Raw genomic sequence first — 15,589 nt, 5'->3', positions numbered from 1 at the left:
GGAGAGGGGCAAGTAAACCAAACAGACACTTGACCAAAGTGCAGATATAAATGGCAAATAAGCACATAAAAAGATGCTCAACATCATCACTTATTAGAAAATGTGAATTACAACCACAACAGGTTTCTATTTTATATCTGTTACAATGGTTAGAGTTTAATAATACCGGTGAGGATGCAGAGCAAATAGAACTCTCACACTGCTGGTGAGAATGAAGATGGAACATTAGCGGTTTCCTATAAAGCTAAAAATGTACTTACCATGGGACCCAGCAATCATATTCTTAGATATTTCCCTAAATGAATTAAAAATTATATTCATACAAAAGCCTATACATTAATGTTTAGAGAGCTTTTAGTCATAATTGCAAAAAACTGAAAACCACCCAAAAGTCTTTCAACAGGTAGATGATGAGGCAAACTGTGTTATATCCACATAACAGAATACTGCTCAGCAATAAAAAGGGAGAAATTACTAATACATACAGTGACATAGGTTAATCATTAACACAATATACTAAGTGAAAGAAGCCAGACTCAAAAGGCTATATGGTGTGATTCCATTTGTATGACATTTGGGAAAAGGCAAGCCTATAGAGACAGAAAAAAAAAAAAAATGCTTAGTCCCTGCCAGGGCCTGAGGGTAGGGAGAACTGACAACTAAGGGACACAAGAAAAGTTTTGGGAGTGATAGAAATATTGTATATCTTGGTTGAGATGGTGATTACAAGACTATGTTTGTCGACACTTGTAAAATCGTATACTTAAAAGGGCGAATAGTGCCATATATAAATAATAGCTCCATTTCAAAAAAATTTTAGAAGACAAATCAACCAATTACAATTGGTTGTACATTGATTTAATTTTGTTTCTGATTTTAAAATGTTAAAAAAATTTTACAAGACAATTGGAAGTTTTTGAACACTGACCTGTTTTATAATAATGAATTATTATTTTCAAGGTGTTGTGATAGTATTACTGGTATATTTACATAAATAGTTTATACCTTCTAGAGATACATAAGGAAATGATATGATGCCTGGAATTGGCTTCTATGTAATCTAGATGGGCAGAGCAAGGAGTGCTGATGAAGCAAGATTATCCACGAGGTTATAATTATTGAAGCTGGGTAATGGTACAGGAATGCTTAGCATGCTACTCTCTCTACTTTTAAATGTTTGAAATTTTACCTAATGTAACATTTTCTAATGTGCAATGATTTTGTAAAAACAGAACTCGATTCTATAAAAAAAAATACAGAAAGAAAGAATTTATGTTAGAGGAGCCAAGGCAAATATGGAAACTCACAGCATAAAAGTTGCTTTTTCAGTTCCCAGGAGGGTTTGAGCATAACTGCTGATATCTTAATTGAAAATTCATCATGTCTGGCATCAGTTCATACTTCCAGACACTTGCTCTACCACTAAGCTACTTCTACCTTGATAATTAAGGTATCAAGTCCTTATTTCCTGAGCCATTATTAACACATATTGGTCACAAAATCTTAAACTAACCTGAAATATTTAAGTTTGGTACAAACTTTGGTACAAACAGTAGACCTCTGTAAGTTTCTGTCATTTGTTGCTGCCTATTATTAAAAATGTTTATTGCCTTTTGGTTTTAGATTTTACTCTTCTATTTAGTATCACTATTGCATGAATTTTATTTCATGTAATCTTGCTTCAAACTCTTGAAAATATAAATGTATTCAGAGGGGAAGATAGTAGACACATATGTAAGATCTTATTACAGAGTATTTAATAATTATATGCTACATGGTGCTACTGCAATGGTAACTTTCATTAATTAAAAAAAATCCTCCAAATGTATCTTGTCCTCAGTATTTTAGTATTCCTCTGTTCTTATTCCCAAGAGAGTCCAGGAGGATAAGAGGCTGAGCAAGTGAGCCAGGGCCATGAGGCACAGGGTCACAACTAAACCAGTGGACCAAGGCCAGCATGGCTCGGGCCACAGCAGGAGGCAGCCAACAGTGGCAACGCCAGAGAGAGCTGGGAAGAGAGCACAGTGGTGCAGCCAGAGGCAAACAGGTTGGGAGAGGTCAAAGCAGAGCATGGCCTCTCAAGTTCACAGGACACAAGTATTGGCCCTGCTGTCCCCTGTGACAGTGCATTCTTCAAGTGGTTGTATTTCAGGGACTGACTCCAATTGCATTGCTTTTTTTCTCCCCCAGTGCACCTGAATGACAAGAACTAAATTCCTTAGTTCTTGGCTCGTTAGCAGCCCATTCTGAGTCTAATATTGATATTAATATCAATCAAGTATTTAATGCATCTGGACAAATTCAGAACCAGTATCAGTAAACGACTTGGACTTCCATGAGAGATATCGATTTTTTAAATTTTTTAATTGACACGTTGTAATTGTACATATGTATGGATGCAATTTCATGTTTTGATACATATCTATGCTGTTTAATAATCAAATCAGGATAGTTAGTTTATCCATCACCTCATGCATTTATCATTTCCTTGAGGTGAGAACATTCAAAGTCCTCTCTTCTAGCAATTTTGTGATTATATAATACCTTACTGTTAACCATAGTCACCTTACTATGCAAGAGAACACCAGAACGTATTCCTCCTATCTAATTGCAACTTTGAGTCCTTGACTAAGCTCTCTCCATCTTCCTCATCCCCTCTTCCTTCCCCGTTCTCTGGTAAACACTGTTCTACTCTCTACTTCTATGATACTGACTTTTAAAAAAATTCCACATATGAGTAAGATCATGTGTGTATTAGTCCATTCTCATGCTCCTAATAAAGGCATACCTGAGATTGGGTAATTTATAAAGGAAAGAGGTTTAATTAACTCACAGTTTGGCATGGCTGGAGAGGCTTCAGAAAACTTACAATCATGGCAGAAGGGGAAGCAAACACATCCTTCTTCACATGGCAACAGCAAGGAGAAGGCTGAGCAAAAGAGGGAAAAGCCTCTTATAAAATCATCAAATCTCGTGAGAACTCACTCACTGTCATGAGAACAGCAGCATGGGGGTAACCACCCCTATGATTCAATTACCTCTCACCAGGTCCCTCCCATGACACCTGGGGATTATGGGAATTACAATTCAAGATGAGATTTGGGTGGGGGCACAGCCAAATCATGTCAATGTGGTATTTGTCTTTCTGTGTCTGGCTTATTTAACTTAACATAATGTCCTCCAGGTTCATCCATATGGTCACAGATGACAAGATTTCTTTTTTTTTAATCGTAGAATGGTATCCCCATTTTCCTTTTCTTTTTCTTTTTTTTTTTTTTTTTTTGAGATGGAGTTTCACTTCTGTTGCCCAGGCTAGAGTGCAATAGCGCAATCTCGGCTAACCACGACCTCCGCCTCCCGGGTTCAAGCAATTCTCCTGCCTCAGCCTCCTGAGTAGCCAGGATTACAGGCATGAGCCACCATCCCCAGCTAATTTTGTATTCTTAGTAGAGATGGTGTTTCTTCATGTTGGTCAGGTTGGTCTCCAACTCCCGACCTCAGGTGATCCACCCGCCTCGGCCTCCTAAAGTGCTGGGATTACAGGCATGAGCCACCCTGCCTGGCCCACATTTTCTTTATCTATTCATTCATTGTTTAACACTTAGATTGATTCCATATCTTGGCTATTGTAAAAAGTGCTGCAATAAACATGAGAGTGGAGACATCTCTTTGACACACTGGTTTAATTTCCTATGGATATATACCTAGTAGTGGGATTGTTGGACCATATGGTAATTCTATTTTTAATTTTTGGAGGAATCTTCATACTGTCCTTTCTCCAATGTATACTCTTGGCACCTTTGTTTTCCATAATGGCTGTACTAATTTACAATCTCACTAACAGTGTGTAAATGTCTCTTTTTCTCCACATACCTGCCTACACTTGTTTCCTTTCATCTTTTTGATAATAGCTATTCTAACTGGAGTGAGGTGGTATCTCACTGTGGTTTTCATTTGCATTTCTCTGATGATTAGGGTATCTTTTCATATACCTGTTGGGCATTTGTGTGTCTTTTTTTGAGAAATGTCTGCTCAGGTGTTTTTCTCATTTTTAAGTTATGTTATTTGTTTCTTTGCTGTTGAGTTTTTCAAGCTCCTTATATATTCTGAATATTAACCCTTGCCAGATGGATAGTTTGCAGATATTTTCTCCCATTATGTAGGTTGTCCCTTCACTCTGCTTATAGATCCCTTTGCTGTACAAAAGCTTTTTAGTTTTATATAATCTCATTTGTTTTTTTGTCACTTGTGCTTTTGAAGTTTTATTTCAAAAATCATTGCCCAACCCCACGTCATGAAATGTTTCCCCTATGTTTTCTTCTAGTAGTTTCATAGTTTCAAGCCTTTAATTTAAGTCTTTAATTCATTTTAACTGAGTTTTGTATATGGTGAGAGGTAGGGATTTAGTCTCATTTTTCTGCATGCGGGAGATGTGACTTTTTAATTTTTTTTAACTTTTCTTTTTCTCAATTTTCCTCCACACCATTTATTGAAGAGATTGTCCTTTCTCCAGTGTGGATTCTTGGCACCTTTGTTGAAAATCAATTGGCTGTTGGCTGTAGGTTTGTTAATTTATTTCTGAGCTTTCTATTCTGTTCCATTGGTCAATGTTTCTGTTTTTATGCTGTTTTGGTTACATTAGCTTTGTAGCATATTTTGAAGTCACATAATGTGATGTCTAAGCCTTCCTTCTTTTTTATCAGAATTGCTTTAGCTATTTAGGGTCTTTGTGGTTCATATAAATTTCAGGATTGTTTTTCTAATTCTGTAAAAAATATCATTGATATTTAACAGGCATTGCCTTAAACCTGTAGATCACTTTGGGTTTTATGGCCATTTTCAGAATATTAATTCTTCCAATCCACAAACATAGGTTATCTTCCCATTTATTTGTGTCCTTCTCAATTTCTTTCATCAATGTTTTGTAGTTTTTCGGGGTAGAGATCTTTCACTTTCTTAGTTAAGTTTATTCCTAAGTGTATTAGTCTGTTCTTCCATTGCTATAAAGAAATACCTGAGACTGGGTAATTTATAAAGAAAAGAAGATTCATTGTCTCATGGCTCTGCAGACTGTACGGGAAGCATAGTGGCTTCTGCTTCTGTGGAGGCCTCAGAGAGCTTCCAAGAATGGTGGAAGACAAAGAGGGAGCAGGGCTCTTACACAGCAGGAGCAGGACCGAGAGAGAGGGAGGAGGTGCTACACATTTTTAAACAACCAAATCTCTTGAGCACGCACTCACTATTGTAACACAGCATCCAGGGGAACATCCAGGCCCCATATCCAACATTGGGGATTACAACTGAACGTAGATTTGGGTGGGGACACAGATCCAAACCATGTCACTAAGTATCTTACTTTTCTTGCAGCTCTTGTAAATGGAATATTTTTCTTGGAATTTTTATAAAATTTTTTTAAAACCTTAAATGTCATATTTCCAAACATGATCTTAAAGACTTTTTTCCTGTGTTAAAAAATAGTAAGTAATGTTTGGTTCTCATATGATTTATAGTAGAACCCTATTATAGCGTGGTTGATTACTTAAATGGATTTATGTATAAAATGAGACAAAGCCATTGTTCCCTAAATTAAAAATACATTAAAAAAACAAAACAGAGATGGCTTCTTGAGGTGCCTTTCAATCTAAGATTAGAAACTATCTTTCTAATCCACCTCAATATGAACACCACTATAAACATGTGAAGAAAGTATTTTGCTTTGTTTCCCCTTCTAGGCTCTACTTGTCCCCATAGTTACCATAGATGTCTCTCCCATTTCACTAAACTCTTGTCCTTGGCTCACAAACCCCAGATGTCTGTAGGGTAAGTTCAGGACCTAGTTCCTAATCTCGTCACCACCAAAGTCTCCTTTAATTACCTATCCCCGTTCTTCTTCTCTTCATGCACGCACAGTCTCATTAGTTTAAACAATTTTTTTTCCACCTTGAGATGCCATAATTTTACTTACAAGCAAGGAAATTTGATCTTTAATCAGCCTATATGTGATGTGTAGCAACAATACAGAAATAAGCCATACATGGCCACTTTATTTGGATTTGCAAGTTGTGGACTGCACAACTCCAGAAGGATAGCCATCTAAATGTTCTGAAAATGGAAGCATCGGGACTGTAGGGCATTTTGCTGTTTTTAATGCAAGGTGCTACATCACAGTGGTATGGGTGCCAAACAGTAAGTCTGCTAAGTCCCAGCTATTCTGACACTGCCAATGAATAACACCCTGGCTTCAGACAGGCATTTGCTGTCTGCATTTATCAAATAAAATCAAAGAATTAATAATCTGTAAGATCTAACTTATTTGCTAGTTTTTTGTTGTTGTTGTTGTTGTTGTTGTGAATTCAGATGTTCCTGAAAGAGGGCAAATATGCAATCAGGAGACCACACACAGCTGTACATCCAATTCTGTGTTGTGACACTTTGGGTATCTTGCTTAAATGCTTGTTGTCCCTATTTCTCGAGATAACTTGAGTAATTCACAAGTTTGATAGTGAACTTACAACAAGTGGTTATAAAAAATGGTTTTAAATGCATTATACAAATATAGGGGGGGCACTTCACCTAAAATTAGCTTAGTTCAGTTTTACTTATCAAAATGGACTCACAACTTTTGGGGGGAAGAACTTGCCTCTGCTAGTGAAAATAGCAAAGCAAAAGAATTGTATCGAAGCCAGGACTTCAAGGCCTAAGGCAAGAGCAGAAGGTAGAAAGTAGAAATATTTTTCCCAACCTGTTGTGTGATCACCTGTTGCATGATCTAGTTTCAGCCCTTCTGTTTCCAGGCACCTGCTCTTACTGAAAAAAAATCTGGCTGAGGCTGGAAGTTATTGTAGATATTCACAGCTTTCCTTATGCCATAGGACCCTATAAGCAATAAAAAGGACTTTCTTGGCTGGGCGCAGTGGCTCATGCCTGTAACCCAGCACTTCGGGAGGCCTAGGCGCGCAGATCACTTGAGGTCAGGAGTTTGAGACCAGCCTGGCCAACATGGCGAAATCCGTCTTTATTAAAAATACAAAAATTAGCCAGGTATGATGGCGCACACCTGTAATTCAGCTATTAAGAAGGCTGAGACAAGATAATTGCTTGAACCTGAAAGGCAGAGGAGGTTGCAGAGAGCCGAGATCACGCCACTGCACTCCAGCCTGGGTGACAGATCCCTCTTCTCAGTAGATTATTTATCATCCACTTCCCTGCTGTCCCCACTCTGTCCCAGATCTGAAGATCCATATATTTTCAGACTTCTTAGGTAAACTCAAGGAAGCTTTCATGTTGCTGTTCTTATTATACCAAGTCAGAGTCTTCTAAACCATGAGCTTTGACAACACAATTAGATCATGTGCATTTACTCTGATGTACTTTGCATCATCTAGCTCTGTAAAGTATAATTTGCCTTCTGTTTCTTTCTGAAGTCTTTTCCCCCCTACTTCACAAAGGTTTATGTTCTTTTACAAACATTAAGAGCATTTAACCAAATGTGGGAAGCAACTGAAGTTATCTTAGTACTGAGGCATTAGACTGTTCTATTTCTCTGAAGAATGTTATTGTGTGACCTAAGGAGGGAAATAAATAGAAGCATATGTTGTTTATAATATTTCTCTGCATAAGATAAACTGAGAAGTGGGTGAGCAGAATCAGGGTGTGGCAAGCTAATTCAGCTCTGGAGTGTCTGAGAGAGACTTGGGGACAAATTAAACACCCAGAGAAGATGACAAGCCATTTGGGTTGTGGTGACATAGGCTTTAATGTATGACTCGTGTGGGCTTGCTTTAGATCTTTCCATTTCAGGTTGGAAATGAAACTAAGCATCTTATAAGTGAACTGCAAGTCAATGTAGAGTTAATCTAGTTTTTGTTTGAGTGTGTTTGTTCTCAATATCTTGTTAATTAAATCACATTATGTAGGAGTCAGTGGTCCTAGACTCTGGTTCTGGCTCAGAAATTGATTTTATTGCCCTTTCTATTTATGAAATATGAGTGATATGAAAAGTCATAATGCCTAAGGGGCATTAAATGCCAATTAAGCTGGCTCCAGGACATCTATAAAAAGGATATTAAGGGTAAATACTTTGGTTCTTCCTTTGCATCCAGAAACCCAATGAAACTTCTACATGAATAAAAATTTGCTCCAGGGTGTCAAGGCAAATTGAGGATGATGTCAGAGTTGCAACCTGTGTAGTTTTGATATGTCACATATTACTATGTAATTCATATTTAAAAAAAGAACCAGAGACACAGATGCAGAAGCAGAGAAAAACAGAGAAACAGACAGGGCTATTGAGTGGAAGACTTTGCTTCTCAAGACTTTGCAACAAATATGAAGTACACATACAGGGCTAGACTTTGGAGGCCTCCACCTTCCCTTTTAATTCTTTCACCATCTTGAGGCCCTTGAAATCTCCTATTCCCATGCCTCAGATCCTCTTCTGCTACCAACTGTCCATTATTCTAAATGAAATACTGCTCATTCCAGGGTTGCTTTTAATAGGTGATTCCACAAGACCTCATAAATTACCAGAGGAACAAATTGATAACATTGTGCTCCACCCAGATGACTTGTCTTTCAATACCCACCACTGGAGAGACCTCAGATTTCCCAACTTTGAGGAAGAGGAAAAGAAAACATACCTTTCCTAGAGTTTTGTTTACCCTCAAAAGAAGTCAGTCTAGAGATGAATCAGGGGGCCATTTGCCAGGTACTAGCTTCAGCTTTGTAAGCTGATATGAATGGAGAGCACGCTTACCTTTAACCCTTTGCATATTGGAAAAGCAAATTAGAAAGTGAGTTTCCTTTTATGTCTTACCATTCCTTCATCGATGCTCTGGAAGACATCCAATTCTTCTTTTGGTGGAAAAACTCCCCCAAATCTACATTTTTTACTTTCAAGGTTTATGCGATAGAGTCTTTCTTACTGCAACAACTTGATCTACATTGAGTGATATTAATATAAACCCCTAATTATTGATTTGCATATACACATTTCTTTCTCTTGTCCCAGTCCCATCTTTAATACTCTAAATATATCCTGAATCACTTTGTATAACTAAGGATAAATAAAAGTAATGCTAGTTACTTTATTTATTCAGGAAATATTGTGTCTTAGAAAGACAAATTAGTTTAGCTTGCTTGTCACCTTAGATATTTCAGTGGAGTGGAAAATAATCCATTGACCTTGAAGACCACGTTGCTTCTGTACCCTGAAATGTCCCAAAGTAGCTGTGTGCAGGTAAGTTTCTATCCCAATGTAATAATACATTTTCTTTCCTTTATTGTCAAAATGTAAGGTCAGAGAAAGGTCTATGAAAAGTGTGCTGCCATCCCAAAATATGAAGCAACAATTTACAATTATTTGTGTGTAACACAAATGTCATTTAACCAACATTTATTTGAGTATATCATATCCCCTAGGCTCTGAGAATACAGGAATAAACTAGGTAGACAACAGACCCTGTCCCTTTGCCTGCTGGGATTATCAGCCTTGCTTAACTGCAAGGCTTAACAGAGGTTTCAGCTGCAATTTTTTTTTTTTTTTTTTGAGATGGAGTCCTGCTTTGTCACCCAGGCTGGAGTGCAGCGGCACAATCTCGGCTCACTGAAACCTCTGTCTCCTGGGTTCAAGAGATTCTCCTGCCTTAGCCTTCTGTGTAGCTGGGATTACAGGTGTGTGCCACTTACCCCGGCTAATTTTGTATTTTTAGTAGAGATAGGTTTTCACCATGTTGGCCAGGCTGGTCTTGAACTCCTAACCTCAAGTAGTCCACCCACCTCGGCCTCCCAAAGTGCTGGATTCAGGTGTGAGCCGCCACACCTGGCTTCGGCTACAAATCTTAGTGAGTAGACTCAATCTCTCTCAGAAGTCCATTGCACAGGATGACTCAGTTGTTTCTGAGTTTTCCCAGAGATTTTGTTAGAAGTGCTCAAGACTAGATCCACTTATGATCTTGTGCTTGGGTCTCCTTTTCACTGCCCAGTCCATCGAGGGCAAGGCCAACCAGCTACCCTGATAAGGGCACAGCTCCCCTGGCTTCTGTAGTGCCCCTACAGCTCTACCAGTCTCTGCAGCAAAGTTGCCCCATGGTGGAACACAAGTGGGAAAGAACTTTCCTCTGCCTAAAATAATGTCACAATTCGTCACTTGAGCTTGAAGCTGCACAAAGACAGCCCCTTTTGCTTCTGCCTACTACCCTTTTTTGCTAAGATACTTGACTACCTCTAGGATCTGGCTGAGGAAAAGACACCTAACATTATTGAGTGCCCACATGTGCCAGGCACTGTTCTAAGTACTTTAAAGATATTAATTCATTCAATTCTCAAAACAGCACACGCTGGGGCAGGGGAGAACACTATTCTTTCCTATTTTAGAGATGAGAAAAGAAGGATCTGATGTACTAGTTATCTATCACCATACAACAAATCATCAAACACTTAATGGCTTAAACAACTTCACATTTTCTGTGAATCAGGGCATGGCTTAGTGGGGGCCTCTGTTTTAAGGTTTCTCACAAAGCTGCAATTCAAGGTGTTGGCTAGGGCGAGGGTCTCATTTGAAGGCTTGATAGAGAAAGGATCTGCTTCCATATTCATGTAGGTGGTTGTTGGCAGGATTCAGTTCCTTTGGGATATTGAATTGATGGCCTGGATTCCTAACTGATGGTTGACAGTGAATATCCTCAGTTCCATGCCATGTGGGCCTCCCCAACATGACAACTTGTTTCATAAAAGCCAGCAAGAGGGAGAGTCTGCTAGCATGACAAAAGTCAGAATCTTTCGTAGACATGAAAGTGATATCCTAACACCTTTGACATATTTAATTGGTTAAAAAGCAAGTTATAGCTCTTGTCCTCATTCGAGAGATTATGTGTGAACAGTAGGAGACATGGATGTTTGGGGGCCATCTGAGAGTCTTTCTCCCAGACAGAAAGGTTAAATAATTTACCAAGAATTAGGAGTCAGCATTTAAGCATAGGAAATCTACCTCCAGAGGAAAATGAGACTCAAATGGTTTGGAAACCAGGCTAGGCACAGAAATAAATACAAATTTCTGTTTTATCACCTTTTGGATGAGTCACTAAAACAAGGGTGATAAAGCTGTAGGCTTTTTTGTGGTAGATTTTTTTCCCCATGCAGGGTTTTTAAAAAATTTGAAAACCGCATTATGTGGTTTCACATAGTTATATGAATTTCCAGGAGCTTTAAAAATAATCAGAAAATATGTTGCCACCATTTCTTCCATTCACATGTGGCACCAGCTATTAGACTAGAGCTAAGTAACAACTCAGTAACAATGTGCTTGCCTGATCCCAACAACCTCTTTTGAGCCCTCTTCTTGTTACCAGCATGGCATTTATATGAAGGCATTTGACTTTGCTACAAATGCAATTGAATAGAGAATATAGTAGAACTGAGAACTAAATAGTGAGCCCATTTATGGGGTAAATTAGAAGTGGTTTCTCCCAGATATTTAATCTATACCAAATTTCTTCGAATAATGAGAAATGTATACATAGATATTAAACATTATCTAAAAATGTACTATCAGAAAGTGCTGTTTGCTTAGCAAAGTCACATATGTATTTGTAGACAACTGATCTGAAAGGACATCTAAGAGATGTCCTCTCTTAGATGTCCTCTCATCTAAGAGATGAGAGAAGGCTACCTAAACATCTGCTTAAGCACAGACTAGTACCCATAAGTGCTAGCTTCCCGAAATGCAAATACCACACCTTTGAGGTACAACCTTTCAGGGAATGGGATTTTTCATTTGTTTCTTTATTTGTTTAATGAGCATATATTCTGTATGCTAGACACTATATTAAGAAATCTAATTGTAATAACTCAAACTGTGAAACACTGAAATGCACATGATAATTTCAACAATGTCTTATAGCAAGTCTGTGGTGTACAGGAACAAAACCTTGGTCTTCTGCTTTTCTAATATTCCAGGCTGCCTTGGTTCAAATTCTCTTGATAATTTATATAAAATTGCAAGGTTGACTTTGGGTTATGAATATTAGCCTTGGCAGGCTGCTTCCAAATTATCATATAATTGTATGTTAATTATCATATTCCTCATACTTCAAATGAATTTATATAGGAAATATAATTATAGCTACTAGATTCTAGACTCTGGGAATTAGGTGATTCAAACCGGCTCTTTCTCTCTTGCAATCCCGTAGGAGCATATCATAAAAGAGGAATGGTATTTCCCACCACAGTCCCAGCTGGTAATTCTGATTGTCCCATGATTTCACAGCTGCAAATCAGCCCCCACCCAATCACACTTGTCTCTGGCAATGATCCTTTCCTTAATTAGAACATGACTTAGACTTTAGTCCTAACTTATCTGTTGCCTTGGCCCTGGGCTACCTGAGTACAGGCTGGTTTAGTTGGAAAAGAAAACCTACTTGAACATAGGTCTGTTTGACCTAACATTGAACAAAGGGAAGAGCCATTTGTCTGGCTGAATTTACTTTATTTAGCAACTGAATTTATTTTCTTTGACAACTTCTCTCTCTTACAGTCTAGTCTTGTGTCTAGGCTTTGTATTTGTGGTGTCATTTTTGTAGTTCTTATTCCTTCCTCAACTTGGGTATAGCCTCTAGAAAAAGCCACTAGGTCTTGTCCAAGCCTGTATGTGACAGCATGTGGGGTGTGATGTGAGGAACAAGCAAGGCTTTCCTCTAAGGTAGCAGGTAGGTCAAACCTAATATTGCCCTTTCCTCCTTTTTTTAAAAAACCTTAAATTTCCAGGGTCCCCGTCACTTCTCTTGAGTGGCTAAGTCACACAGATGAGAGCTTTCCTCTAAAAGTCTATGTCAAAATACATGTATATTAGAGAGGAGGGCATATTTAAAGAAACTTGTGATTTCTGGCATTCTTTCTGCTCACCTTACACTTTGATACATTCTCTTGGAAAGGCACCAATAGAAGGTAAATAGAAGATACACAGAAAATGAGGATGGGGTGAAATGACAGGAAAAGTAAACATTTTATTTTTCAAATGACAAATATTCATTAAGCATCTACAATGTACATGGTAGTATACTAGATAGTTGGGGAACATATTAAAGTGATGCAAAATCTGCTCCCATGAATTTGGGAGATAATCTGTGAGCCAATATCTACATGTGAATCTATATGTTTCACATATAGATTTGTGAAAAAGGTAACAGTGCCATTTGGTACATGTAAAAGTGCTCAAAACAGATAGTATTTGCTACAGAGTCCTCTCAGAGAGGACATGGTATTAGAGCTGTATAGTTAAGAAGGAGGAATCTCAGATTTATTATTATACTGTATAATCACAGGTGGCTTGGAATTGGACTGTGCATAGTGTTTGGTAGAGAAAAGAAGGAAACAAATCAGGCTACAATGAAAGATTTACTTTGAGCAACTGCAGACAGGAGTTGAGACTGTATCTCATGGGCTCTAGATAGCCATCTGCTATGGTCTGAATGGTTTTGTCCCCTTCTCAAAAATTCATGTTGAAACTTAACCCCAATGCAACAGTGTTGGAAAGTATGGCCTTTGGGAGGTGACTGAGTTTTAAGAGCTCTGCCCTAATGAATGGGATTAGATGCCCTTATAAGAGGGCTGGGCAAAGGGAATTTGACTTTTGTCCCTTCAACTTCTGCTATAAGGACAGAGCTTTCCTCCTCTCCAGAGGAAGAGGTGTTCAAGGTGCTATCTTAGAAGCACAGATGGGATGTTTACCAGACAACCAAATCTGCCCATGCCTTGATCTTGAACTTCCCAGCCTCCAGAATTGTGAGAAAATAAATTTTTCTTCTTTATAATTATAGTTTCTTGTAATTTATAATTACCCAGTCTGTAATATTTTGTTATAGCAGCATAAACAGACTGTGACAGTTAATACTGAGTGTCAACTTGATTGGCTTGAAGGATGTAAAGTATTGATCATAGGTGTGTCTGTGAGGGTGCTGCCAAAGGAGATTAACATTTGAGTCAGTGGGCTGGGAAAGGCAGACCCACCCTTAATCTAGGTGGGCACCATCTAATCAGCTGCCAGTACAGTTAGGATATAAAGCAGGCAGAAAAACATGAAAAGGCTAGACTGGCCTAGCCTCCCAGCCTACATCTTTCTCCTATGCTGGATGCTTTCTGCCCTTGAACATCAGACTCCAAGTTCTTCAGTTTTGGAACTCAAACTGGCTCTCCTTGTTCCTCAGCTTGCAGATGGCCTATTGTGGGACCTTGTGATCGTGTGAGTTAATACTTAATAAACTCCCTTTTATGTGTATCTATCCTATTAGTTCTGTCCCTCTAGAGAACCCTAATACACATACTAAAACATCATCCCAGCCAGGTGAATATAAAAATAACAAGATAAAATGGGTGTCTTAGGAAGAATTGTGTTGATAGGGGATTTGAGATAGGAGATACTGCAGGAGAAAGGACTGGTTAGGCAACAGCAGACATCCAAATTTGTTTAAGACAGTAATGTTAAAAAAAAAAAAAAAAACTTCAGCCAAATTAAATTTAAAGGAGTTTGAGCAACGAACAATTCACGCATCAGGCAGCCTCCTGAGCCAGAGTAGGCTTTGAGACTCCAGCGCAGCCACATGGTGGAAGATGATTTAGGACAGAAGAAGGAAAGCGACATACAGAAAACGGAACTGAGGTACAGAAACAGCTGGATTGGTTACAGGTTGGGGTTTGCCTTATTTGAACAAGGTTCGAACAACTGGCTACATTTGATTGGCCAAACTCAATGATTGACAGAAGTGTGGGCTATGGTCTGTTTACTCCTCCACTTATTATAGTTCACGGTGTACACAGAAACCTTTAGGCTGAACGTAAAATATGTAAGGAGGCTGCTTTAGGCTAAACTTGATTTAACAGTAACTAGGGATGAAGGTGAAAGAAAAAAAGGATTTTAAATAATTGTCTGGACATGGAAAATTATTGAGATGAAGGGACAAAGAAGACAATGAGGTTTCCAACCTGAATGACTCAACTTCAGGCGAGTGAGGGTGACCTAGTGTCAGCTAGGTGACTTAGTAAAAGGTAAAGCCCCAGATCTCAATAAGTATAATTAGAGATTCACAGAATTTTAAAGCTGGAAAGGGCTCTAGAGATAATCTATTTTAGATCCTTTATAAGAGGACAGCTAAAGCAAAACAAAGGTCTGTGACTCAATCCAGGACAGTGAGCATTGAGCGGGGCTATAGTGTAGCAGCACCTACATCCTCTCCCACTGGGCCATCCTGCCTGTTTCCCCATCCTGACCATGTAGCTCTCTGGACAGTGGCTCTCAAGGTCTGAACCGAGGACCAGAGCCTGTCTACAGCCAAATCAGGCAAAATAAGGGGAACAGATAATTTTTCAAAAAGTTAATCATTTAAGGAATCAACCTTTACTCTGTAATCTAAGTTCCTAACTCAGTTTTTGTTTTGTTTTGTTTAATTTACGGATCTGAAAAACCCACAGGCTTTCTCTGTAGGATAGCAAATTATGTGTGAGCTCTCTTTCCCAAAGCACAACAGCAAGGGGTAAAGATGCAGCCACAAAAAGGATGACAACAGTGTTTTCCTGGCTCTGCCCCCATCCCCACTGC

General features: G+C 38.6%; 1 long non-coding RNA gene across 3 annotated transcripts in view, besides 1 other annotated feature; it reads right to left on the bottom strand.

Annotated features, from left to right (window-relative positions):
• Positions 1-15,589, bottom strand: part of EPM2A-DT (EPM2A divergent transcript) — a 151,717-nt gene that overhangs the window by 55,296 nt on the left and 80,832 nt on the right. For 2 of the 3 annotated variants that reach the window (NR_038246.1, NR_038244.1), the window contains exon 2: positions 2,834-2,929. This is a non-coding gene — a long non-coding RNA (EPM2A divergent transcript). The remainder of the gene's footprint in view (positions 1-2,833; positions 2,930-15,589) is intronic. The other variant, NR_038245.1, reaches the window with a different exon arrangement.
• Positions 15,405-15,474: an enhancer, noted in NCBI's record as "active region_25227". NCBI's record gives its function as "activates an Ori minimal core promoter by ATAC-STARR-seq in GM12878 lymphoblastoid cells {active_cell/tissue: GM12878}" and the evidence as "EXISTENCE:reporter gene assay evidence [ECO:0000049][PMID:35858748]".

The sequence above is a fragment of the Homo sapiens genome, chromosome 6, assembly GCF_000001405.40.
Source record: "Homo sapiens chromosome 6, GRCh38.p14 Primary Assembly".
Taxonomy (NCBI): Eukaryota; Metazoa; Chordata; class Mammalia; order Primates; family Hominidae; genus Homo; species Homo sapiens.
Note: the sequence above shows the minus strand (reverse complement) of the source record. Positions and strands in the feature narration are given on the sequence as shown.